The 27,647-nt window shown below is 45.8% G+C and overlaps 1 protein-coding gene and 1 pseudogene across 18 annotated transcripts in view, besides 1 other annotated feature; one reads left to right on the top strand and one right to left on the bottom strand.

The window, feature by feature from the left end:
• HNRNPUL1 (heterogeneous nuclear ribonucleoprotein U like 1) overlaps positions 1-27,647 on the bottom strand; it is a 45,231-nt gene that overhangs the window by 13,282 nt on the left and 4,302 nt on the right. For all 18 annotated transcript variants that reach the window (NM_001439172.1, NM_144732.5, NM_001439179.1 and 15 more), the window contains exons 2-9: positions 26,161-26,283; positions 22,271-22,424; positions 20,451-20,524; positions 18,208-18,347; positions 15,330-15,429; positions 13,231-13,343; positions 1,995-2,261; positions 46-168 (exon numbers count right to left, since the gene is read on the bottom strand). In NM_001439172.1, the coding sequence (NP_001426101.1) occupies positions 46-168; positions 1,995-2,261; positions 13,231-13,343; positions 15,330-15,429; positions 18,208-18,347; positions 20,451-20,524; positions 22,271-22,424; positions 26,161-26,278 (1,089 nt within the window). In that variant the 5' untranslated portion in view covers positions 26,279-26,283. The remainder of the gene's footprint in view (positions 1-45; positions 169-1,994; positions 2,262-13,230; positions 13,344-15,329; positions 15,430-18,207; positions 18,348-20,450; positions 20,525-22,270; positions 22,425-26,160; positions 26,284-27,647) is intronic.
• RN7SL34P (RNA, 7SL, cytoplasmic 34, pseudogene) lies at positions 7,813-8,082 on the top strand (annotated as a pseudogene).
• Positions 17,935-18,135: a silencer, noted in NCBI's record as "peak3484 fragment used in MPRA reporter construct". NCBI's record gives its function as "represses an SCP1 promoter by STARR-seq MPRAs in K562 erythroleukemia cells {active_cell/tissue: K562}" and the evidence as "EXISTENCE:reporter gene assay evidence [ECO:0000049][PMID:32103011]".

Here is a 27,647-nt window from a genome sequence, read left to right as displayed (position 1 = left end):
CAGTAGGTTGGAGGTGAGTAAGGAGAGTCCAGTGGCTGGCCTTACCCGCATCTTATCCATGATGGCATTGGTACCCAGGATGTTGTACTTCTTGGAAGGGTTGGAGGCTGCATGTTTGATGGCCCATGTGGTCTTGCCAGCAGCAGGCAGGCCCACCATCATCAGAATCTACAAGAACAAGACAGGGAAGGTGTTGCGGCATGGTGGTATGGCACCACTTGGCTCGGTGGTGACTGTGAGTGTGACTCTGGACCTCTGAGCTGTGGCTGCCTCTACAAAGCGGAAGCAGTAATACCATCTACCTCACAGTACTGGTATCGGGATTCAAAAAGATCAGGCTTGTCAGACTCTGAGCACAGTGCCTGGGACAGGGTGAGCATTAAGTCAAGTGCTGGCCAGGCACGGTAGCTCACGCCTATAATCCCAGGACTTTCGGGGGAAAACAAAAACAAAAAACCAAGTGCTGTCATCATTAGCATTTATAGTATTTTGTTTTTTTGAGACAGGGTCTCACTCTATTGCCCAGGCTGGCGTGTAATGGCCCAATTACAGCTCACTGCAGCCTTGAACTCCCAGGCTCAAGCAATCCTTCTACATCAGCCTCCAGAGTAGCTAGAACTACAGATACAAACCATCACACCCAGCTAATCTTTTTCTCTCTTTTTTTGGTAGAAATGAGAGTCTCCTTATGTTGCCCAGACTGGTCTCAAACTCCTATACTCAAGGGATCCTCCTCCCTTCTTGGCCTCCCAAAGTGCTGGAATTATAGGCATTTGCCACCAAACCCAGCCCATTTACAGGATTATGTGACCCATTCCCCGCCCCCTGCAATAGCCCAGGGAAGGCTGTGTACTGGGACTGGCCCCATGGAGTGGGTAGAAGTGGTACAACTTTCTTTAAGTATGAAATAGGAACAGAGCTGCACACACAAGGACATGAATTGTATCTAATCAGTACATTTAGAATTTGGTAAACACAGATGCATCTTAAATGCCCGACTAGGGGGGAGTGGCGAGTTTGTAAGGCCATTAAGAATGACGTTCATTCCCTTGAAGGATTTTTAAAAAAGAAAAAATGATGTTCAAAGAGAGGTTTTTATGTGATGGGATAAAGCTCACAAAATAATGTGAAGTGAAAAGAGCAGGGTATCATAATGCTTATACCATAGAATCTCAATGATAAATGTTTGTGAGCATAAAACAGGCACTTAGACATTAAAAAGAACAGATGAACTCCAAAACTCTGCAAGTAAACTTATTTGTAGATGATGGCATTATGAAAATTTAAATTTTTTACTTCTTAATTTTCTAGAACAAGCATAAATAACTTACACATACAAGAAAAATATTGTTTTAAGAAAAAAGACACTAGTATAGCTCTTGGAATCAAATCTTCCCAAAGGCCATTTATCTTTTGATAGCTCTGGGTGAGAGGTGGAACTTACTCAACCTCCTTCAAGAACACTCGGTGGGCCAGGCTCAGTGGCTAAAAAAGTTAGCCTGGCATGGTGGCATGTACCTGTGGTCCCAGCTACTCGAGAAGCTGAGGTGGGAGGATCACTTGAGCCTGGAAGGTCAAGGCTGCAGTAAGCCGTGATCGCACCACTGCACTCCAGCCTGGGTGACAGAGCGAGACCCTGTCTCTAAAGAAAAAAAAAGAACACTTGGTGGCACAGTGCACTCCCCAAGAAGCGCCTAGTGTCCTTTTCTGCTGTAAGAAAAGCCTCCTTTTCCCCTATTCTGGCCTCACTTAAGAAGAAGATGCAATCTTTCTGAGATTTAGGTAGCCTCTCCGACTTCAACTTAGGTCACACCAACACCCCTCACCTCACACTCAGAGCAGCTTTTCAGCTCTGAGTCCAACCCTGAGGAGCTGGGACAAAGTGGCCACTTGCCCCAAGGCTACTCTCGCAGCAAGTCTGTGTGTGTGTGTGTGTGTGTGTCTCCTCTGTCTTGGCAGCAAGGTGGCCACCAATACATTCTGGCCCCACTCACCTCACATTCTGCCTTGCTCTTTGGTCCAACGGTGCCCCGGATACGCTCACTAAGGGGAAGGTGCTGGATGAAGGTAAACCCCGGGAGGACAGAACAGTAGGGCTCTGCTCTCTGTCCGAAGTTGAACTCCACTGCGCAATTCTTCACCAGGACATGAGGATAGAGGGCCTGACCCCCCAAGGCTTCCTTCTGGATTCGGAAAGCAATGCCCATCCACTTTCCATTCTTGGTAAAAGACAGTTCCACGTCATTTCCACATTCAAAATCCTAGGAGAAAAAGCCAAAGGAATATGATTGCCAACTCTTGCCATAGGCACTGGGAGTCAAATGTGAGGACAGTAGATGCAGGGAGTAGAATGTGGACAGCTTTCCAGATTGAAGTGCATCCTTCCCCAACATACAGGTAAGCTGGGCAGCATCAGTGAACATCTCAGAGAATGTCCAGCCCAAAGTCCTCCTTGCCTAAGACCCCAAAGTTGGTGGATATGAAGCAAGTAAGCAAGAGTTTTTTTTTTTTGTTTTTTTTTTTTTTGAGACAGGGTCTCACCCTGTCCCCCAGGCTGAGTGCAGTGGCACAGCTAGGGCTCACCGCAACCTCAAACTTCCAGGTTCAAGCAATCCTCCCACCTCAGCCTCCTGAGTAGCTGGGACTACAGGCATGTTCCACACCTGGCTAATTTTTAAATTTTTTTGTAGAGACAGGGTCTTGTTATGTTGCCCAGGCTGGTCTTGAAATCCTGGACTCAAGTGATCTTCCCACCTTGGCCTGCCAAACTGTTGGAATTATAGGCTTGAGCCACTGCACCTGTCCTAAAGCAGGTAATTTTAAGAAGCTCCAAGTATTTGAGTCTTGTGCCTAGACTGAGATGAAGACGAAGGAAAAGGTGGTCCAGTCCTGTCCTGAAAACTGATGAGGAGACAGGTGCAGTGGCTCACGCCTATAATCCCATCACTTTGAGCAGCCAAGGCAGGAGGATGCTTGAGGCCAGGAGTTCAAGTACAGCCTGGGTAACAGAAAGAGACCCCATCTCTACAAAAACAAACAAAAGAAACCCAGAAAGGGCAGTCTATGAATATAACAGATGAAGGAAAGCCACCGCAGGGCCTTTTCGAACTGAGTTCAGCTTGTTCAACATGTTCCCTGAGTTCGTACTCTTTCTGATACACATGTCTGCATAATCTGGGACCGACAGAGCTTAGCGACCAGTGGGGAATGAGACAAGGACACTCTATCATAATTCAGTAAGATGACCTACCTAGAAGCAAGTTTCTGAGGTTTCTCAGTTGCTTGTATATAAGCCTAGCAGTGACAGAACACAAGGTCAGATTGGCTGAGGCATAAAAGATGAGGGGGAAGTAATTCAGGAACAGCTGAAGAGCCATGCAGGGACCACATTCATTTATTCTGTAACAACTACTTATTGAATTGCTAAAGTTAGTAATTAAGATCCCCCCTCTTTTTGTTGAGACGGAATTTCACTCTTGTTGCCCAGGCTGGAGTGCAATGGCGCAATCTCGGCCCACCACAACCTCCGCCTCCTGGGTTCAAGCGATTCTCCTGCCTCAATTAGCTGGGATTACAGGCATGTGCCACCACGCCCGGCTAATTTTGTATTTTTAGTAGACGGGGTTTCTCCATGTTGGTCAGGCTGGTCTCGAACTCCTGACCTCAGGTGATCCACCCGCCTCAGCCTCCCAAAGTGCTGGGATTACAGGTGTGAGCCACTACGCCTAGCCTATGATCCCATTTTAGAAGGTGGATGGCTTCAGTTCTACCATTTACTAACTTGTGGCCTTGGTTAAGTTATTTCATCTTGTTTCTTTATCAAAAAAAGGGGGGCGGGGTAATAATATTTTATACAGCCTATGTTTATTCTAACTGTTAAATGGGCTAGTACATTTAATACACAGTGAGCACACAAGGAATGTGAGCTATCACTGCAAAATGTCAGGCACTGTGCTAGAAATAAGGGGCTGGGACTGAAGTGGTGGGAGGGGACACGGCCTACCTCGGCATGTGAGGGACTCTAATTTACCGCAGGAATTTGAACTTGATGCTGGTGGCAGAGCAGAGTGTCTGACTTATTTTGAATAGAGGAGCAGCCTGCTCAAAACTGTGTTTTGGAAACATTGCTTTGGCTGCAGGATACGAGAGGCTCTTTTTTTTCTTAGTGTTTTTTTGCCTTTTTAAAATTTATATTTTTAAAACGTTTGTTAAATATTTTTCTAAATGCCCATCTCAGAGAAGAAAAGGCTCAAAACTTGAGATTAGATAGCAGACTGAAGCAAAATACACGGTTCGCTTTCTGATATGAAAGTATAATTTCTTTCTCTATTCAGGTGACCACCTTGGGAATTGCCCTTCAAGAAGCGACAGAAGCACCCTCCCTTGAGGAGCTTCCTCATTAACCTCCTCAGTGCTCACAGGGCACAGCTCTGTGTCAGAGGCCCTCATGCCTGTTCATCTCTAAGCATGCACCCACGTCAAGACCATGGAGAGCGGCTGGATGTGGTGGTTCACGCCTGTAATCCCAGCATTTTGGGAGGCCGAGGTGGGCAGATCATGAGGTCAAGAGATCAAGACCATCTTGGCCAACATGGTGAAACTCCGTCTCTACTAAACATACAAAAATTAGCTGGTCATGGTGGCGAGTGCCTGTAATCCCAGCTACTCAGGAGGCTGAGGCAGGAGAATCACTTGAACTAGGGAGTTGGAGGTTGCAGTGAGCCGAGATCATGTCACAGCACTCCAGCCGGGCAACAGCAAGACTCCTTCTCAAAAAAAAAAAAAAAAAAAAGACCATGGAGAGCAGGTATGACTGTTGGTGTTAGTTAGCCTTCCTTATGGCCACCAGCTTCACTATAGGAACTTCCCATAATGCACAGAAACCGGCGCCCTCAACCAACCCATCTACCACCAACAGAGCCATCTGTCCAAAAGGCAAGTGGAGTTGTGTTGTTGTTCCTGCTGAAACACTCCTGTGTCAGTCCCAGGCCTAAAGACCCAAACTCCTGAAGCCTGGCATAATTCAGAGCCTGCCATTTTTATAGCCTGGTGTCTCACACCTCTTTCTGTTGTCCCTAGGCTCTAAGTATCATACTCTTTATGGTTTGCTGAAATGGGTTATTCTGTTCTCCACTTGGAAGGCTGTTTTACCTTTTTGTTTTGCAAATTGAGGACTTGATATTTGACACCAATGTCCTCCCCTCTTGTTCCAGGAGACCAATGATTTTTACACCCCCACCAACTCCTCACCCTGAGCCTTTTTAAAGTTGTGGTATCTTCTGAACAAAGAAAACTATATAAGGAATCTTAAGACTGGATGCAGAGATGTTCTGGTTGAAGCAAGAGTCAAGGCCTAGAGTTCCATACTGCCACATACCAAAAGAACCTCATACTCTGAAAGAACAGACTTTGGCAAACACTGTCACACAGTGACAAGTTAAATTACTGCAACCTGTTTGGAGTGTAGTCTTGGTGGTAGCTATGAAAATTTAAAAATATACCTTTGACTTAGAATCTAACTTTCAAGAAGGAATACAACTACATTCCCACAAGAATGCAAAATTCTATGTGCAAAATGCTCATGCCAGCACGGAAAATGTGCTCCAATGGGGAAGTAGGAGTGGCTAAATTGCACAGGAGATCCATATGTGGGGCTACAAAAAGATCTCCAAGTTACTCCAGTAAATGGAAAAAAGACAAGCCGCATTTATCTGTTCCAGGAAACAACTTTCACAGCCACTAACAGGAAGACGGGCTAAATTAAAGCAGGGTACCCAAACCCCTGCATCAGAATACTAGACAGCCATTACAGTCACTAAATACAAAGCTGCAAAAGTAACGACATGTCCACCAAAGGGAGGCGCTAGGTTAAATCAATTATGGTACAGTCATACAATGACTACAGACAATATAAAAGTACAAAGAAGCTCTCTTGGTAGTACCATAAAAAGATCCCCACCAAGGCCGGGCATGGTGGCTCACGCTTGTAATCTCAGCACTTTGGGAGGCCAAGGAGGGCAGATCACCTGAGGTCGGGAGTTCGAGACCAGCCTGACCAACATGGTGAAACCCTGTCTCTACTAAAACTACAAAATTAGCCGGGCATGCTGGCGCATGCCTGTAATCCCAGCACTTGGGAGGCTGAGGCAGAAGAATCACTTGAATCTGGGAGGCGGAGGTTGTGGTGAGCCAAGATCATGCCATTGCACTCCAGCCTGGGCAACAAGAGCAAAACTCTGTCTCAAAAAAATTAAATAAATAAAAAGACCCCCAAGACATACAAGTTAAAAAAAAAAAAAAAAAGATGAAACCCCGAGTACCAGTGGGTTCACATGCTGGGGAGGGTATATGTGAAAAATGGGTGGGGCGGGAGGGGGGGTGTCTAAAGAAGACTTTACACTGTATCCCCTTTTACATTCCTCGATTTTTTTTTGGAAACCCTATTCTTGAAAAAATCAATTCACAATGATTAACTATTAAGAAACAACTTTAACTGAGCTAGATCTATATATTGTCTGTGTGGACAGGGAAAGATGGCCAAGATTTACTCTTCAATGGGAAAAAAATGCAAGGTTTAAAACCGAACAATTTGTAGAGTATGAACACAGTTTTCATTTTAAAAATGTTTTATTGAAAACATATTGAGGGCCGGGCGCAGTGGCTGACACCTGTAATCCCAGCACTTTGGGAGGCTGAGGCAGGTGGATCACCTGAGGTCAGGAGTTCGAGACTAGCCTGGCCAACATGGTGAAACCCCGACTCTACTAAAAATACAAAAATTAGCCAGGTGTGGTGGCGCGTACCTGTAGTCCCAGCTACTCGGGCGGCTGAGGCTGGAGAATCGTTTGAACCTGGGAGGTGGAGGTTGTGGTGAGCTGAGATTGCGCCACTGCACTCCAGATTGGGTGACAGAGCGAAACTCTGTCTCAAAAACAAAAACAAAAAGATACTGAGATCCTGAAATGCAAAAAAAGGCTGAGAAACTGTTTCAGGCTAAAGGAAACTAAAGACACATGGCAAGAGAATGCAATATGATCCCAGGCCAGATCAGATCCTGAACTAGAAACTCAACTGGACGAAAGAATATTGTTGGGACAAGTGACAAAATTTGAATGCGCAGTAGATAATAGCATTATATCAAGTTTTAAATTTAATAACTTTACTGTCATTAATATCTTTACTCTTAAGAATCAGCCAGTTGTGGTGGCTCACACCTGTAATCCTAGCACTCTGGGAGGCCGAGGTGGGCGGATCACGAAGTCAGGAGTTTGAGGCTAGCCTGACCAACATGGTGAAACCCTGTCTCTACTAAAAATACAAAAATTAGCTAGATGTCGTGGTGTGCACCTGTGATCCCAGCTACTTGAGAGGCTGAGGCAAAAAAATCACTTGAACCTGGGAGGCAGAACTTGCAGTGAGCCGAGATCACGCCACTGCACTCCAGCCTGGGCGACAGAACAAGACTCCGTCTCAAAAAGGGTACACACCGACTGGGCGCGGTGGCTCACATCTATAATCCCAGCACTTTGGGAGGCTGAGGCGGGCGGATCATCTGAGGTCAGGAGTTCGAGACCAGCCTGGCCAACATGGTGAAACCCCGTCTCTACTAAAAAATACAAAAATGAGCCAGGCATGGTGGCAGGCGCCTTAATCCCAGCTACTTGGGAGGCAGAGGCAGGAAAATCGTTTGAACCCGGGGAGGCGGAGGTTGCAGTGAGCCGAGATAAAGCCATTGCACTCAAACCTGGGGGACAAGAGTGAGACTTCTCTCAAAAAAAAAAAAAAAAAAAAAAAAAAAGAGTACACACCGAGCCTGGCACAGTGCCGTGCACCTGCAGTCTCAGCTACTAGGTTGGGGTGGATGGCTTGAGCCCAGTTCTGGGCTGTAGTGCACTATGCCAATCGGCTGTCCACACTAAGTTCGGCATTGATATGGTGACCTCCTGGGAGTTAGGGACCATCAGGTTGCCTAAGGAGGGGTGAACTAGCCAAGGTAGGAAACAAAGCAAGTCAAAACTCTCATGCTGATCAGAAGAGGGATCACCGCCTGTGAAAATGCAGCAAGACCCTGTCTCATTTATTAAAAAAAAAGAAAAGAAGGAATACAGACCAAAGTAATGAAGACATGATGTATGCAACCTCCTCTCAAATGGGTCAGATGAAAACACAGCTGACCTTTAGCAACACTGGCTTCAAGCTGGGCAGGTCCACTTACATGTGTACTTTTTTCATTCAATATACTGAAAATATTTGTGGACACTTGCAACAATTTGAAAAAACTCTCAGATCCCTATGACTAGAAATACTGAAAAAAAAAAAAAGGAAAAGTTAGGTATGTCATATGAGTGCATAAAAATTGTAGACACTAGCCTATGTGTTAATTGACTGTTTATGTTATCAGTAGGCTATTAATTTTTTTTTTTTCTCACCTCAGTCTCCTGAGTAGCTGGGACCACAGGCGTGTGCCACCAGGCCCAGCTAATTTTTATTTCTATTTTTGGTAAAGACAGGGTTTCCTTATGTTGCCCAGGCTGGTCTTGAACTTCTGGGCTCAAGTGATCCACCCAGCTTGGCCTCCCGAAGTGCTGGGATTACAGGCGTGAGCCACTGCGCTCAGCCAGTAGTTAAGTTTTTGGGAGTCAAAAACTATACGTGGATTTTTGACCGCATGGGGGTTGGTGCCCCTAATCCCTGCAAAGTTCAAGGGTCAGCCCATTGTTTAGGGACAAATAAACCACTTTGACCCCTTCTGTACTAAACTCATGGGGTTCTTGGTGGCATTCTCCAATATCAAAATAATTTTAAAAGGGAACCACATATTGGAAAGGTATTTCCTAACTTCAGAAACAAAGCATCAATGGAACCAATCTAGAAAAAGGATTTTCATCATCCACACCTTCTTGTTGTACAACCAAATGACTGGCAACTGGTGTTGAGGATTTAGGGTTTGAGAGTTACCAGCTTTATAAGTAACAGTCCTGATCATCAATCTGACAGAATTTGCTGGGCATGGTGTCTCCGGCCTATAATCCCAGAACTTTGGGAGGTCAAGGAGGGCGGATTGCTTGAGCTCAGGAGTTTGGCGAAACCCCATCTCTACAAAAAATACAAATTATTAGCTAGGTGTGGTGGCGCAAGTATGTAATCCCAGGTACTTGGGTCGCTGAGGTAGAATAGCTTGAACCGGGGAGGCGGGGGCTGCAGTGAGCTGAGATCATACCACTGCACTTGGCATTAAAAATCTGTTCAGGCAGATATCCCTTCTCTTCAATTATACCTTAATGATGCCTGGGAACTTGTTTGTTGCCTCTTCGTTGGCAGAAGCTGCCTTTCCTGTAAAGAATTTTTAAGCCAAACCTCTTTCTAAAGTTATTAAACCATCCTTTGCTGGCATTAAATTCAGCAGCTTTAGATCTTTCCCCTTTCTTTTGCTTTATGTTGTCATATATAATGACTTCACTTTTTCTTGAATTATAGCCTATAGGTATGCCCTTTTTTTTTTTTTTTTTTGAGACAGAGTCTTGCTCTGTTACCCAGGCGGGAGTACAGTGGCGCAATCGTGGCTCACTGCAAGCTCCGCCTCCCAGGGTCACGCCATTCTCCTGCCTCAGCCTCCCGAGTAGCTGGGACTACAGGCGCTGGCCACCACGCCCGGCTAATTTTTGTATTTTTAGTAGAGACGGGGTTTCACTGTGTTAGCCAGGATGGTCTTGATCTCCTGACCTCGTGATCTGCCCTCCTTGGCCGCCCAAAGTGCTGGGATTACAGGCGTGAGCCACCGTGCCCGGCAGGTATGCCTTTCTTATAGCAACTCTGTACCTACACAAAAGCTGCAGTTTTATTTATTTATTTTGAGACAGAGTCTCATTCTGTCATCCAGGCTGGAGTGCAGTGGGCCAATCATAACCCACTGCAGCCTCCTGGGCTCAAGCGATCCTCAGCCTCCTATCTGGGACTACAGGCGTGCATCACCAACCCAGTTAATTTTTATGTTTATAAAATATTAAAAGTTTGTTTTCACCATGATGCCCAAGCTGGTCTTGAACTCCTGGGCTCAAGCGATCTGCCCACCTTGGCCTCCCAAAGTGCTGAGACTACAAGTGTGAGTCACAGTGTCCGGCCTTGCATTGTCAATATATGATAAAAAGTGCAGGGATTTAGCACCTGCTAGCACAGCAGTAGTGATGGCTTCGGGAATTTTTTCTTTTTTTCGTTTACAGTGGTCCTTATGCTGGATTAATCTTGAAATGGCAGGCAACTACAGCTGCAGACCTCAATCTATAGTGCATATCAACCAATTCAAATTTTTCTTGTAATACCATAACTTTTTTCTGCTTCTGAGCAACACTTCCAGCATCACTAGTGGAACTTCGTATGGATCCCATGGTGCTACTCAAGGCTTATGATATTGCAGTAACATGATTAAAAAATACACAAGAATTGCGAGATCACTTTTTACTGTGATACACAATTTACCGAAAAGAACTGCTCACGTGAAGATGTATGACACACAGTGTTTTAAGTAGAAACTTGCAACAATTGAGCTCACCATAATAGCAATAGGAGGTGGCTTCAAAATTATTACAGTATGCGCTGGTTAATTTTATGCAGTTGGCTGGGCTTGGTGGCTCACACCTGTAATCCCAGGACTTTCGCAGGCCGAGGTGGGCAGATCACTTGAAGTTAGGAGTTCAAGACCAGCTTGGCCAACACGGTGAAACCCCATCTCTACTAAAAATACAAAAATTAGGCCAGGTGCAGTGGCTCACACTTGGTAATCCCAGCACTTTGGGAGGCCGAGGCAGGTGGATCACCTAAGGTCAGGAGTTCAAGACCAGCCTAGCCAACACGGCGAAACCCCAACTCTACTAAAAATACAAAAATTAGCCAGGCATGGTGGCGTGCACCTGTAATCCCAGCTACTCAGGAGGCTGAGGCAGGAGAATCACTTGAACCCAGGAAGCGGAGGTTGCAGTGAGCCGAGATTGCGCCACCGTGCTCCAGCCTAGGCAACAAAGTAAGACTCCGTCTCAAAACAAAACAAACAAAAAACAATAATTAGCCAGGCGTGGTGGTGCACACCTGTAATCCCAGCTATTCGGGTGGCTGAGGCACAAGAATCACTTGAACCCCGGAGGCGGAGGTTGCAGTGAGTTGAGATCGCGCCACGAGACTCCAGCCTGGGTGACAGAGAAAATAATCTGTCTTCAAAAAAATAAAATAAAAACAGTTATGATTTAATACTGTACTGTTTGTTTACATTTCTCTCAACTGTGAATGGTACCATGTAGAGTCTGTGTGCACAAGTTTTGATAAGTTTTAACTTTTTGTAATAGATTTGTGGATATTTTATGCTAGTAAATGATGAAACAGACTAGTACCTACTTATATTTTATGCATTCATGACATGCTTAACTTTTTCTTAATCTTACCGATATTTCTAGGCTATGTCTGTTGTTTCAAATTGTTGCAAATCTCCAAAGAAGTTTCCAATATATTTATTGAAAAAAATGGCCGGGCGCGGTGGCTCACGCCTGTAATCCCAGCACTTTGGGAGGCCGAGGCGGGCGGATCACGAGGTCAGGAGATCGAGACCATCCCGGCTAAAACGGTGAAACCCCGTCTCTACTAAAAAAAAAATACAAAAAATTAGCCGGGCGTAGTGGCGGGCGCCTGTAGTCCCAGCTACTTGGGAGGCTGAGGCAGGAGAATGGCGTGAACCCGGGAGGCGGAGCTTGCAGTGAGCCGAGATCCCGCCACTGCACTCCAGCCTGGGCGACAGAGCGAGACTCCGTCTCAAAAAAAAAAAAAAAGAAAAAAAGAAAAAAATATGCACATAAGTGAACCAGTGCAATTCAAACACATTGTTGAAGAGTTAACTCTCTATGTGTATGTACACCATAAACATGAAAATGGTAAAGCAAATGTGGCAAATGTTAGAATCTGGATAAGGCCCTGTGAGAATTCTTTATTCTCAAGCTTTTCCGAGTTTGAATTTATCTCAAAGTTAAAAAAAGAAGAAGGGGCCAGGCGTGGTGGTTCACACCTGTAATCCCAGTACTTTGCAAGGCCGAGGCGAGCAGATCATCTGAGGTCGGGAGTTCGAGACCAGCCTGACCAACATGGAGAAACCCCGTCTCTACTAAAAATACAAAATTAGTTGGGTGTAGTGGTGCATGCCTGCAATCCCAGCTACTCAGGGGGCTGAGGCAGGAGAATCGCTTGAACCCAGGAGGCGGAGATTGTGGTGAGCCGAGATCGCACCATTGCTCTCCAGCCTGGGCAACAAGAGCAAAAAACTCATCTCAAAAATAAATAAATAAATAAAAAAGAAGAAGGAAGAGTACATGTGTACAAATATGAAGGAAGGCAAAAGAATAAGCTTCAGAGGATGAATCCATCCAGGTGGTCACTTCCTCTGGGGCCTTACGGCACATTTTACAAACATCTCTTATAACTCCTAATGTTAACAGTATTAAGTGGTATTTACTGAGCACTTACTGTGTGTCAGGCATTATTATAAGTGCTTTTAATGGATTAACTTAATGACTCCACACAAAATTCTGAGGTAGGTGCAAAGATTCTCATTTAGAGGGAACTGAAAAACAAGAAGGGTAAATTGCCCAGGGCTTGAATGGAAGAACATAACTGGGTCCAGGGAGTCCAGCCCAGAGCTGACAGCCATACTGCACAGCAAGGTGACTGCTGGTCACTGTTCTCAAAGACTGAAGTATGGCAGCAACAGCTGTTCTGTTTTGCATCATCTCTACTCTTCCAGAAGGCAGTGCATTGTAGGAAGCCTGGCTCAACCAATGTGAGATGAAGAAAGGGAGAAGTTTTGGGATAAGATGATGCCAACATGGGGCAAGAGCCAATACCACTGCCTTCAGGAGCAGACAGGCTATTTCCTAGCAATGAAAGATAAGAAATTCCTAGGTTTGTTTAGAAAATGTTACTCTGGTACCTAGGAACGGAGGAAGGCTATGCACACCTGAAGTCCCCAAACCTCTTCAGGGTGTCATCTGAAAACTTTGCACACAAGACCAGAGGAGATGGAATGACAGAATTTCCCACAAAATGACAGTAAACATTCCAGTCTGTCAAGCAGAGACAAAGAAGTATGGCGAGAGTGGCTGGATATGGGGCAGACAATGGATAGAGGTATCCTGAAAAAGAAGTCTGTAGCCCAACATCTGGTTCTGCCAACTCCCACAGGCTGCTAGCACTCACCGCAAAGCAGCCAATCACATCGTTCTCTGCAAACTTGTCTCCGTAGTTTTCAAACCGGCTATTGGTGGACTTCTTCCCAGTGCCTCCATAGCCATAGGAGAAAGGCTCTTCGCCTGACGGAAGAAATAGGCAAAGGCAGGTTAAACCTGCGATGGTCATAACAGCCTCAATGGCTGCCACATACTTTTATTTTTGAAGAAAAAAATCATTTTCTTTACTAGTTTTATTAATCAGATGCCTTTTTAAAATAGGGGTGGGGAAGGGTGAAAGGAAGCCCTTAATGATGTAGAACTTGGAGGGCTTGATGGGTTTCATTGTCCAGTCTGGGAGTAGGAGCTCAACTGAATAACTCTGCACAGAGGGGAGAATTTGAAAAGAAAGGGAGGAAGGAAGACAGGAGTTGGGATGGAGGAGAATGGCTGTATGCTGAGATGCAACCCTTCCTTGTGACACCCAATATTCAGTCCAGTCTACTTGTGGTAGAAATCAGTGAAGGGGCTGGATTTTGCTCCTGGAGACCATGAGGACTGACCCCTGGGAAAGGTACTAGATTTCCTCAGGCTACAGAACTGGGTGCTGAAGTGATATGACTGAGAGATCCCAAGGGCTCTGGCTGACACCTGAGTTAGAGATTCCGGGCAGAACCCAAAGAGTATGCTGTTAGAAAAGCAGGGGCCGACAAGCATGAATGCCAGGGCTCGTTCTGCTACAAACCAGCTATGTGACCCTGGATATGGTGCTTGACCTCCTGGGCTGTTTCCCCATCCCTATCAACTGCCACCACCTACATCTCAAAACGGAGACAGAGATAAGATGAGATGACTTATGAGTCTTAAATAAAAAGTGCTAACACATATGGAAATGAAAACTGTATACTTTTTTTTTTTGGTGCTAACATATCTACCTTTTTGAGGAGGTACCAATTTATGGGGTACATGTGCAATTCTGTTACATGCACAGATTGCATAGTGGTCAAGCTTTTAGGGTGTTCATCACCTAAAAAATGTACATCGTACCCATTAACCAATTTCTCATCCTCCTCCACCTTGTTACCCCCTAACACTTCTGAGTCTCCATTATCTATTATTCCACTCTCTAAGTCCATGTGAACATATTTTTTAAACAAACACTTGTGAGTGAGAATATCATCTATTTTTAAAGATTAGTCTTAAGTGGTCAGGCAATTATGGACCAGGATAATGGCTCAAGTGTTAAAACAGCAAAAATTTGCAATAAGTTTAAATGAGCTACAGAAGGGGACTTGTTAAATAATGCAACTATAAAATGGAAAATTATGCAGTAGTCAAAAAGCTGCAGTTATTTACAAAAATATGCCCATCATACATTAAAACAAGGCTATACAAAGTAGTCCTAGTGTGATCCAGTTTAAAGATGTACAAAAAAATAAATGTCCAGAAGACTACAAATGGAATGTTAACATTGGTTAGTTTCTCTCACAGGTTTAGGAAGGATTTTCATTTTTCCCTTTCTGTATGGCCTGAATTCTTATACGCAACACATATTATTTTCATAATTGGAACGTTTGTATGATCATAAACGGAAGGCAGGAGGTGTCAGCATTGGTCAGAATAATCAGTCACTTGGGACCAGAAGGTCATTGAAGCCTGGGGACCCGCAAAATTCAAAACCTTTCAATAGGCAGCCCCTGCCCCTCTCCCAACTAGCCCTGGCCTCACTGGTCTCTGCTCCCCTTTTTCCTCTAGGTTAGGCTCCGGACAGAAAATACAGACAGAACTTAATGGAGCTTGGGAACTTATCAGCAGCTTGGTTTAAGGGCAGGAGACACTGATCCTTTTTACAGAAAGGGAATAGATTCCTAAAGAGAATTTTGGACCCTCTCCTAAAAGATGAAGGATAAGAATTGATTCTTCACAGAAAAGTTGTTTCATGACCATAGTCCTCTCAGTTGAATACAGCATGACAGAGACAGTGGCATATACCTAATCCTTGTACCTGTTCCACTTCAGCCTAGTTCTATTCTAAGTCTGACGCTGGAAAAGGAAGCTTAGGAGCCTTGAAAATCCAAGGGTAGGGACAGTCACTCTATTCTCTGGACTGCATAGCTGACCCCTCCTTACCTAGCTGGGTGCTGCAGGAGTCCAGGGACCAGCCGATACGGACCACGTGGGGGTCAGGCTCTGTAGACGGAAGGTGCTTCACGGAGATTTCCTCATTGATCTGAGGAAAGAGGACAAAAGGGCTCAGGGTTGCTTCTCTGGAGGCCGTAGGTTATGAGCCAATATAGGAGGGAAGCATATCAGGCATTAAAAAATAGCAATGGCTTTTCTTGCTGGAGAAGAAGCGTTTAAGCAGCTCTGAAAAGCCTGTTGAACCGAATCGAAGCCAGGGCCTCCAAAGGGATCAGTAGAGTACAGGGCCACAGAGACAGGCATTTCAAAATACGGTTATGTTTTAGTTTAAGAGACTCTTGTAACATCTAGTAGAAAGATAAACTGTTACAGTGTCTTTAGAGGGCAATCTAGAAGTCTCTATCAAAACTGTAAATGGCTGGGGATGGTGACTCACACCTGTAATCCCAACACTTTGGGAGGCCAAGGCAGGAGGATGGCTTGAGGCCAGGAGTTAGGAACCAGCCTGGCCAACATAGCAAGACCCCATCTTTACAAAAACATTAAAAGAAAAAAACAACAAAACCCCATAAATGCACATGCTCTATAACTCAGCATCCTATAGATACACTAATATGTGGACAAGTATGTCTACGTATGTGTGACTGTATTTGTATATGCAACATTCTGTGCAGCATTGGATGTATATATGTGCACATATATATATATATATATATTTTAACATCAGAAAAAATATCAATAAAGCACTGATTATGGTATATCCATGCCACAAAATATGATGCAACAGTTAAAAAGAGCAAAGTAGGCCGGGCACGGTGGCTCAAGCCTGTAATCCCAGCACTTTGGGAGGCCAAGGTGGGTGGATCACCTGAGGTCAGGAGTTCGAGACCAGCCTGGCCAACATCATGAAACCCCGTCTCTACTAAAAATACAAAAAATTAGGCATGCGTGGCGTCATGCACCTGTAATCCCAGCTACTTGGGAGGCTGAGGCAGGAGAATCGCTTGAACCCAGGAGGGAGACGTTGCAGTAAGCAGAGATTGCGCCACTGTATTCTAGCTTGGGTAACAAGTGAAACTCCGTCAACAAAACAAAACAAACAAAACAAACAATCAAACAAACAAAAAACAAGGAGCAAAGCAGTACATTGGGCTAATGTACTGCTATGGAAAAATGTCCAAGATACAGTATTAAGTTAAAAAAAAAAAAAAAGCCTTCTGACTTAATTTCGTATTAAAAGACTAGACTGCCGAATATCCGTATCTACCTGTGGCCTCACTGGCTTTTCAGACACACATTTTAAAATCTCTGAAATCAGGATCCATTTTACAATAAATGTGATGAGAAAGCACTGCGTATGCTGGGTGCGGCAGCTCACGCCTGTAATCCCAGCACTTTGGGAGGCCAAGGCAGGCAGATCACCTGAGCTCAGGAGTTCAAGCCCAGCCTGATCAACATGGAGAAACCCCATCTCTACTAAAAATACAAAAATTAGCCGGGCAGGGTGGCACATGCCTGTAATCCCAGCTACTGGGGAGGCTGAGGCAGGATAATTGCTTGAACCCGGGAGGCAGAGGTTGCAGTGAGCCGAGATCGCGCCACTGCACTCCAGCCTGGACAACAAGAGTGAAACTCCATCTCAAAAACAAAAAAACAAACAAACAAAAAAAGAAAACACTGCGTAGTTTATTTTGTTGCAGTGTTTCTCTATGAGAGGTACATAAAATAATGCACAACTTACATCAATGGTGTCGTGGTCAATAAAATATAACCCTCTGTGTTTCAGCTTCTACCTCTAAAAACTGGGGCTAACAGTACCTGTTTCCAGATGGTACTGTGAGGATTAATGGAGATAATCCATGTAAAGAGCTTGGTGCTGTATCTTGTGCATGCAAAGAGCTCTATACTTATTAGCTATCATCAGTAAGTTTGGATACACAAACCACAGGTAAGAAATTGTTAACACAGAAGTTCCCTCCAGGGAGTAGGATGGTAGGATGGGAACTGAGAGGACATGAGAATAACCTGTTTTGTTTTTTTTGTTTTTGTTTTTTTGTTTTTTTTTTTTGAGACAGAGTCTCACTCTGTCACCCAGGCTGGAGTGCAGTGGCGTGATCTCGGCTCACTGCAACCTCTGCCTCTTGGGTTCAAGCAATTCTCTGCCTCAGCCTCCTGAATAGCTAGGATTGCAGGCACCCGCCACCATGCCCGGCTAATTTTTTTGTATTTTTAGTAGACAGGGTTTCACCATCTTGGCCAGTTTGGTATTGAACTCCTGACCTTGTGATCCACCTGCCTTGGCCTCCCAAAAGTGCTGGGATTACAGGCAAAAGCCACCACACCTGGCGAGAATAACCTGTTTTATCCTGTACTTTTCTGTGCTGTCTGAACTTTTGTTAAACATGAGCATCTATTATTTTCATAAACATAACTTGACATGGAACTGTGGAGAGATGACAGCAGAGGCTGGCCTAAGCTGGCAGTTCTTTGCCCTGTTCTCCCTCTGGCCTCCCTTTAATAAGTGACATCTGAGTCTATTCTTTCTAGATCACTTTTCTTCCAAACAACTTCTTTTCTCAGTTCTACAAACATGTCATCACTACACTGGTTGACTACATAATACCTGGGTCAAATCTCACCAAGGAAATATCTGCTTGATGAAGCAATGCATGGTTGGCCTGCTTTTCTGATATGATATTTAGCAATGATGTAGTTGTCTTGAGTTCATCACAGTTTTGTCTGCTTGGACATGGTATTGCACAATCCAATCTCTTTTGCAGTTGCAGCTCTGACCAAGGTGGCTGGTATCAGGATATTACAATGGATGGACTTCTCTGTCCCTTCCCCTTCTCTTGCTCCTACTCACCTTCATCTCGAAGCATACACGGCCCCTTCTGACCCCATAGCTGGCACGGGCTCCTGACCACAGGTATGCAAAGCCCTCAATTGTGAGCGGATAGCCACTACTCCGATCTCGGGCCACCTTGAAGTGGAGGTCGCAGTTATCTGTGAAGGAAAATGCCCACAGTTGGCTGATGTTTTTATTTTGTTTTGTTTTCTTGAGACGGAGTTTCACTCTTTTTGCCCAGGCTGGAGTGCAATGGTGCGATCTTGGCTCACCGCAACCTCCGCCTCCCGGGTTCAAGTGATTCTCTTGCCTCAGCTTCCTGAGTAGCTGGGATTACAGGCATGCACCACCACACCTGACTAATTTTGTATTTTTTAGTAGAGATAGGGTTTCTCCATGTTGGCCAGGCTGGTCTCGAACTCCCGACCTCAGGTGATCCACCTGCCTCGGCCTCCCAAACTGCTGGGATTACAGGCGTGAGCCACCACGCCCGGCCTGGCTGATGTTTTAGAAGTCCTAAGAAAGAAGCAGGCAGAGGGAACTTCCCCAAGTGCTGACCAGGAGTACACAGTGAACACATCATGGGGGCAGTTTCAAAAGGAACCAGCACACCCCTCAACCTCTCTCCCTTTGAGTAGGGAGGATGTGCAGTATTGCAAATTGGCCTGTATGACCTCAGAGAGGAACTGGGGTTCTTTATCTGGTGGGATCCAAGGATGGGGCTTCAGGGGTATCCTCAGAAATTGTCAACACATGTCTTTGGTGGGGATGTGTATTTGCTAGGGATAGGGTCCATATCCTCAGCAGTTTCAAATTAATTTTTTTTTTTGAGACAAGGTCTCGCTTTGTCACCCAGGCTGGAGTACGGAGGCATGATCTCGGCTCACTGCAACTTCTGTTCTCCTGCGCTTAAGCCATCCTCCCACCGCAGCCTCCTGAACAGCTGGGACTACAGGGATATGCCACCATGCCAGGGTGATTTTTATATTTTTCGTAGACAGGGTTTCGCCATGTTACCCAGGCTCAAACTAGTTTTTAGAATACAAAAAGGTTAATCACCACCACCATATATTCCTACCGCCCTCTGTGGTAATTCTATCAATTTGGGAACCGGACTTCTGTTTCCAATAGCTATACAGGGATCTGACCCTGATCCACACCTGCCACCCAGGAACCAATGCCCAGGTGCCCCATAGGCTCCTAATTCCTTTCATGGGCCTAGGACTCTCCTACTGTTGCTCTTACCCTTCTCAATATTCTCAATATTCAAGGAGCCAGTCACGCCTCCAAGAAAGCCTTTCCTGACCATCCCTCCCATGAGGCGCTCTCCTTTCTCTAAAGGCTGACCGTCATGATCTGTACATTTGCATTTCATCTAGACGCTGCCTCATGAACCACTGCCACCCAACACTTTTTAAACAATGTTTACCTCTACTCTGGGTAGATGTTGTTTTCGAGAGCTTGTGATATTAGAGATTGTGTATATTTTTATCTCTTACTAAAGCATGTAGCCAGTGCTTTATAAACAGAAGCTTCTGTAGAAATAGATGAATAAATTGCTGCTTATCTTCTGCTCTGTTGAGAAGTGCAGTGTTCTCAGACCTGATTGGGCTTCTGGGTGCATGTAAAAATTTAGATTCATAGGCTCGACCACTTAGACTCTTGACTAGGAGGTCTGAGCGAAAGGACCTTTATAATAATTCCTCCAAATGCTCAGATGCACAGTGAAGGTGAAAGCCACTTATCCAGTGGAAAGAAAACTGAACTGGAGGACAGACAGCAGGGCGGGCCAGGTTAGTGCCTCACAGGACACAGTGGCATTGGTTTCACCAGGAACTTGAGCAGCTGATGGAAACGGGAACTGGTTGTCAAAGAGTTAAGTTTCCCCAGCTGCACTCAGATTCCCTTCCTGATTAGATGACAACCCCTGTGTGTACAGGGCGGTTCAGGGTTTTCCAGATTGCTCCTATATCCACTGAGGAGTCTCCCTGAAAATCCTCTGAGGTTAGTACAGCAGATTTACTCCTTCCTGAAGGGAAGCTCAGAGAAGTAGAATGACTTGCCCAGGGTCCCACTGCTAGAGTTGGGAGTAGGTCTTTTGCCTCCAAACCAGTACTCTTGCTCCAGAGCTAAGCCGTGTCTCACATGTGGACTAACAATGTCTTTGGACGGTGCCCAGCAGGGATTCTGGTGAAGGTCAAGACCACAATTTCCCCATACTGACTGTAAGGCAGAATTAGATGCACACTCCAAAGACTTACAGGTGTCAATAGCAACAAGGGTATCATCAAAGTCATCTTCATCCTCTTCAGCAGGAGGCTGAGGAGAGCGGCCCCTGTATTAGAAACAGGGGTTAAGTCATACAAGAACAATGGATGAGCACAAAGGAAAGAAAATGAATGTTCTGCTGTAATCTATGAGTGGCCTCCAGACTGCTTCCTGAATCTCCATTTCCTTCCACAGAGGTGGGCAAAAGAACTCTGAAACCCTACATCCTTGCAAGGAGAGCAATGACCGTCAACTCCTACGGTGGAGACAGGGATTGAAGAAGGCATGCTCTGCTGAAGGGGGGCATCAGAATCATTTAGGGAATTTTTTCACTCTTTTTTTACACCCAAAGATTCTGATCCATACCCTCTGCATGTTGACAACCACTTCCACACTGATCTCTGTTACTGTTTGGAGGCTGTGGTATCCCAAAAGGGTGCTGGCCAGGAAGGGGAATGTGCAAGAGCCTATATAAATCCCAATAATTACTATCTATCCATGTACCAGGCTTCTTAAAATCCTACATCTGTAAGAATTTGAGATGACCCATTTTTTTCAGTGTCCTAAATTATAAACGATATTCATTTTCCTACCAAAACGCTAAAAAAGGGACTTAACACTGTTGGTTTCTGCTGTACAGGAACGAGGAAGAAGGGTAGAAAGGTAGAATCTAACACTCAGGGTCCTGCCTGGACAGTCTGGGTGGTCGCAGTGCACTGCATGCACAGATGGGGAGCCCATGCCCATTTGGCTGCTGACTCTCCCAGCAGCAGGCTTCCCTCTGGTGGAGGGCCCCTCTGGCCTCGCCAGGCCAGGGCTAACATGGATGAGCTGTGCTCATCACATGTTAAGTCCATTCTAGGAAACTTTCCCTGCCAGCCCAGGATCAGAGCGAGTGTTCTTCCTTTGCTCTCCATCAGTAAGTAGCTTCCAGGCTTCTGCTCTGTGGGAGGCAGTGGAAGAACCCCATATGAGGTGGGATCCATGTCCTAACTTAAATCATAGCCTGTGAGATCCAGGCCCTGTCTCAGACAGTAACAAGCTAGTTAGAAGGTGGACTCCGCCAGATAGGAAATAGAATGTCAGATGACTAGTCCAGATGAGTACAGTGGCCATTCCTAGTTTTCATAATTGCAAAAGGCTTCAGACAGGAACTGAAGGAAGGAAGGAGGGAAGGGAAGGACTTGGTCTGGAGGGAAAGGAGGGAAGGGCTTGTTAGGGAAGGGAAATGACCAAAGCAGAGGCTGCTCCCTCTTCTGAACTCCTGAAACTCACCTGCATCCTGACTACTCACCTCAGAGGTTGTGGCTTACTAGTGTATGTGTCTGAGTCCCCACACTGGAACAACAGAAGGCAAAACCCACTGTCCATCTGTATGTTGCTAGTGTCCAGCCCAAGAGTGGGCACTTCGTGACAGCACTGTGAGAACTGACTGAATGAGTGGATGAATGGGAAGAGGATGTGTATTTGGGAGTAGTGTTAGGAAACAGATATTTCTTTCATTACGGGTATCAAGCAGCTGACTGCAGGGGCAGTAAGGCAAAGGACAGAACAGGCAGGCTGGCATCTCACGCGTGAAAGTCTAAGATATTTAGAAGTTACCCTGCAGGTAAGAAGGGAGGAACTGGGGGAAGGACCAAAAGTTTAGGAAAGCTGAATCTGGTAGCAAGTACGGGAAGGGACAGGAAGAGTGTGAAAGCAGAGGGAATCTTTACTCAGCCCCTCTAGGTTAGTGCAAATGTCCCCAGCAAGCACGAGGCTATGGATATAGAAACCTACCAGAGCAAGGGTGACTGCTGCCTCATACACCCACCTCCTATCCTCTCGGTGCTCAAAGTACCCCCGTCCCCGGTTTTCTTCATAAGGCCTCTTTCGACTCTGGAATTGCTGCCTGTCTGGCTTGAGTTGAGAAGCTTCAGGCGGGAGGAAGCTGGTGGGTGCTCCTTGCTTCATCTCTGTCTTCATTTCTATTGTCAAGACAAATTCAGATGGTCAAGACACTCGCAAGCTCCCCAGCTATCACTTTTCTGGTCCCTTTTCCCTTGAGAGATGTGAGCAGGATCCTCACTACAGTGATGAAGGGCTGGGCACAGGCAGCTTGCTGAGTTCAACAGAAGCCTGCTGAGCCAGCCAAGAAGGCCATACTGGAGAACAGGGTTAGGATCTGAGATACCATGACCCTAAATTCTCCAATTTCTCTTCCCAAAGAACCTCTCTGCCTTAGTTCTTACAAAGCTTCTTCAGTCTGGCAAGGGAGGGGGAGAGGATGAATTCAACAGGGTACTGTGGTCCTGCAGCTAACTCTACGGGCTTTAGTTACCCTACCAAAAGAGGCCAGAATCACTCCGGTTAAGCCATCCCATAGGTGCAATAACCTCTTTAAGTCATACCATTAACAGAAAGTCAGGATGGGATACCGTGCTGTGGACCACGGGTAAGTCCTAGTCTCAGGCAGACTCCAGGAATCAGTGCCTAACCAAGAGCAAACCACAGATGTAGGCTACCTTCATTTCTCCCACAGCATTAATCCCTGATGCTGAAGCTCATTCACATCTACTCATTTCTGCATTCAACCCCAGACCATTTTGGATCACTCCCCAGCTTCGGCATGTGGACCACATCTCTCAGAAAAGTCTCCTGGTTCTCTAGGGCTGGGATGGTGCTCAGCCATCCTGAAGAGAGCTTCCCTGGTTCCCAGCAATAGGTTGGGCTCACACAGGGCTCCTGATGAATGTCTGTGGATAACGGCACAGAAAATATTCTCCTGTGGCTGAATGATCCTACAAGTCTCACAGAGCCTGACACAAATCTGCGGTTTAACCTACATTCAGTAAAGTTCTGAGCCACCCACAAGAAATGTCTGGGGATTTAACTTTGTGGATGAACCAGAATGGCGTTAGACAAAATCAACCAGATACACTAAGAAAAGGCACTGGGAGGCCACAACACAGTAAAAGCAGCACAAAACTGGGGGTCAGTCCGGGCTCCATCAGTTCTCAATAGTGGGACCCTGCTTTCCAAATAGTAAGGCACAAATGATAAGGAATGCTGCTTATTAACCAAGAGGACTAGCCTGGGAGCAAGTATGCTAGGTTGTAGCCCCAGCTCTGCCATCGGACAAGCCAACTCCTCAATCTATAAAATGGGGAGGAGAGGCCAGGCGCAGTGGCTTACACCTGTAATCCCAGCACTCTGGGAGGCCGAGGCAGGCAGATCATGAGGTCAGGAGATTGAGACCATCCTGGCCAACATGGTGAAACCCCACATCTACTAAAAACACACAAAAAATTAGCTGGGTGTGGTGGCACGCCCGTAGTCCCAACTACTTAGGAGGCTGAGGCAGGAGAATCACTTGAACCTGGGAGGCAGAGGTTGCAGTGAGCCAAGATCACACCATTGTACTCCAGCCTGGGCAACAGAGCGAGACTCCATCTCAAAAAAAAAAAAAAAAAAAAGGGAAGGGAGAGTTGGCATCATGGGGAACTTTGTTCTGTAAAGACATATACTTAACATGATTGGGAAATCCTAAGTTTAAACGATACAACACAAGGTTTTTTGTCTATTTTTTTATTAAAAAAAATATTTTCAGCAACACCAGCCCAAGAAGACACAAGGTTTTTAAATTTAATTAAAAAAAAAATTTTTTTGGAGACAGAGGCTTACTGTTGCCCAGGCTGGAATGCAGTGCTGCCATCATGGCTCATGGAGCCTCAACTTCCTAGCTCAAGTGATCCTCCCACCTCAGGGTCCAGAGTAGGTGGGACTTGGCCGGGTTCAGTGGCTCACGCCTGTAACCCCAGAACTTTGGGAGGCTGAGGCGGGCGGATCACCTGAGGTCAAGAGTTTGAGACCAGCCTGGCCAACATGGTAAAACCCCGTCACTACTGAAAATACAAAAATTAGCCAGGTGTGGTGGCAGGCGCCTGAAATCTCAGCTACTTGGGAGGCTGAGGCAGGAGAATCGCTTGAACCCGAGAGGCGGAGGTTGCAGTGAGCTGAGATCGCGCCATCGCCCTCCAGCCTGGGGAACAAGAGCGAGACTTCGTCTCAAAAAAAAAAAAAGAGTAGCTGGGGCTATAGGATTGTGCAACCATGCTCAGGTAATATTTTTATTTTTTATAGAGACAGGGTTATGTTGCCCAGGCTGGTCTTGAACTCCTGGACTCAAGCAATCCTCCCACCTCAGCCTCCCAAAGTGTTGGGATTACAGGCATGTAACAGCCATCGCACTCGGCCTGTTTTTATTTTTAAGGCAAGGTCTTCCTGTCGCCCAGGCTGCAGTGCCGTGCACGATCATAGCTTACTGCAGCCTTGAACTCCTGGGCTCAAGTGATCCTCCTGACTCAGTCTTCTGAGTAGCTGGGACTACAAGCATGTCACCATGCTCAGGCAATTTTTAATTTTTTCTAAAGACAACAGGGGTCTCACTATGTTGCCAGGCTAGTCTTGGATTCCTAGGCTCAAGTGATCCTCCTGACTTGGCCTCCTAAAGCGCTAGGATTACAAGCATGAGCCACTGTGTTCTAACCTACTTTTAATTTTAGGTTTTTTTTTTTTTTTTTTTTTTTCGTGACAGGGTCTTGCACTGTCACCCAGGCTGGAGTGTAGTAGTGTAATCATAGCTCACAGCAGCCTCAAACTCCTGGGCTCAAGTGATCCTCCTACCTTTGTCTCCTGAGTAGCTTTAACTATAGGTGTGTGCATGTAGTCAGTCATAGCCATGCCTGGCTAATTTTTAAATTTTTTGTAGAGAAGGGGTCTCACTATGTTGCCCAGTCTGGTCTGGAACTCCTGGTCTCAAATGATCCTACTACCTTGGCCTCCCAAAGTGTTGGAATTATAGGTATGAGCCAGCGCACCTGGCCTGAGGCCTGACACACACTTTCTTTTTTTTTTTTTAAATTCTGGACTTCTCAGAGCCTTTAATGTTCTAACAAGCACAGTGAATTTCCAAGAGACGATATAGCACATGCTACAGTTTCCAGACACATTTGGCTAAGGAACCCTTTTCTGAGAATCCCCTAATAATATCCCCTGAAACAATAATCTTCAGAACATGAGAAATACCAGATTAGACTTAGAAGGCTCTTTCTGGCTCCCCCATTCTAAGATTCTAAATAAGATTCAAGTATTAGTCTAGGGGTCTCAACTCTCCAGGGTGCTTATACTAACATCTTTTTTTTTTTGAGATGCAGTTTCACTCTTGTTGCCCAGACTGAGTGAAGTGCAATGACGCGATCTCGGCTCACTGCAACCTCCGCCTCCTGGGTTCAAGTGATTCTCCTGCCTCAGCCTCCCAAGTAGCTGGGATTACAGGTGCCTGCCACCATGCCTGGCTAATTTTTGTATTTTTAGTAGAGACGGGTTTCACCATATTGGCCAGGCTGGTCTCGAACTCCAGACCTCAGGTGATCCACCTGCCTCGGCCTCCCAAAGTGCTGGGATTACAGGAGGGAGCCACCACACCCGGCTGATACTAACATCACTTTTTTACAGATACCATGGAACCTCCCCTCTCCCAACACTTGGAAATAGGACTGAGATCTTTCCTTTAAACAATTCTTGCCAGAGTGACAATGTTTAGATGAACTGCCCAAGAAAAAAGATGCACAGTTTCTCTGGGAAGACCCGCTCTAAGCAGGGGGTAAAGGCTCCATGTAGATTGTTTCCATCCAAAGAGATGAACCATGTGTATTTTCCTACCTGGACGATAGGCCTGCTGCTGCTCCATTTCCAGTGGTCTCCTCTCGTAGCCTGACTCGTTTTCTTGTTTGATGACTTGGGTATCGTAGAATTGGTTCTGCCTGGTAATATTGTCCATGGCATCTTAAAACAAAATTAAAAATGGCCAATTAGAGGGGCGGTTCATGAAGAACCCTGGACCAAAGCATCCAGAAGGCATCTGCAGGTCCAGGAGCTCAACTAAGAGTGGTAAGAATAATAATATTAACTATTCATGGCATGCATACTATACTCCAGAGCCTGGGATACAGCTGAAGACAAGCTTGCCCCACTGAAGCCTTCAGTTTAGTGAGACAGACAAATCTTAAAGACACACAAAAATTTAATATGATTGTGTTGAAGGCTACAAAGTAGTACCAGGAATGAAGAAAGGGACCTGGAAAATAACAGATAAGCCTTGATTCAAAGGATACACAGGTAATGACTCAGTGATGAGAATGGAGAATGTTACTGGGGTTGGGATAACACGTGTGAAAGCTCAGAGGTGGAACTAAAACCAGAAATTCCCTCAAGAACCTTGCAGCCAAACCCAGAGAGAACTTTAGAAAGCTAGGATGGGCAGCATACAGGCTCTCCTCCCCAGGGGCTAGCTCTCAGTTAGGGCCCCAAGGGCCCTACCAGTGGCTATGCCAGGAGCCGTGAGCCAGAACCAAAGGGAAGGAGAGACTATTCTGCCACTTGCTAACTGATCGGATTCCTTCTCAGAGGATAAATACATCTGGGCACAAACCAGGTGCAGCCCAAAGGGAGGAAAGTCACAGGTCATGTGGTTTGCTACCGGTCTGTTTACCAAGGTTGAAGGAGGGCTTAAGGGAGGCATGAAGGGGGCTCAAAGGACTTTGTTGTAGCAAGTAAGGGAGAGAGGAAGAAATAGCATTATCTCCTTAATTGGAATATGGGGCCCTTTCAAACTATTCTGCTGCTTCCAGGCTCCAAGCACAATGCTCCTCTTCCCACAAAGCCTCTTTTCCCCAGCATCTCTCTCCTGTGTTCACAGAGGCAGCCCCTCCTGGAGAAGCTATAATTCTAGGGTCCTTCTCCATTCTCTAAAACATCCCTCTTCTCATAAAAGGCAGGCCCAGTGATAAGCCCTTCACATGTGATCTCATTCATAACACCCCTCAGGGGTTGGAGGGGCTGTGAACACACTATTTGTTGATTAACCCCATTTTACACATTAAGGAAACCAGGCCCACAGAGGTGAAGTGACTTGCCAATATCTTTAAGCCAGATTTGAAACGAAGTCTGTCTTAGTCTAGAGTCTACGCTCCAAAGCACCTAATTCGCTTTCCTCTCAGAGATGACTCTCTGCCCAGACCACCAGGTCACTACTAACCCACTACCCTTTCTTGCTAGGCATTCCTGCCACGATCCCTCCTGCTCTAGACACACACACAGGCCCACTCCTTTCTTCACAAGTCTCTGCAATGGGAAGTCCTCTTTCCAGC

This window comes from Homo sapiens, chromosome 19 (genome assembly GCF_000001405.40).
Source record: "Homo sapiens chromosome 19, GRCh38.p14 Primary Assembly".
Taxonomy (NCBI): Eukaryota; Metazoa; Chordata; class Mammalia; order Primates; family Hominidae; genus Homo; species Homo sapiens.
The sequence above is the reverse complement of the archived record's forward strand: the minus strand, read 5'-3'. Positions and strand labels throughout refer to the sequence as shown.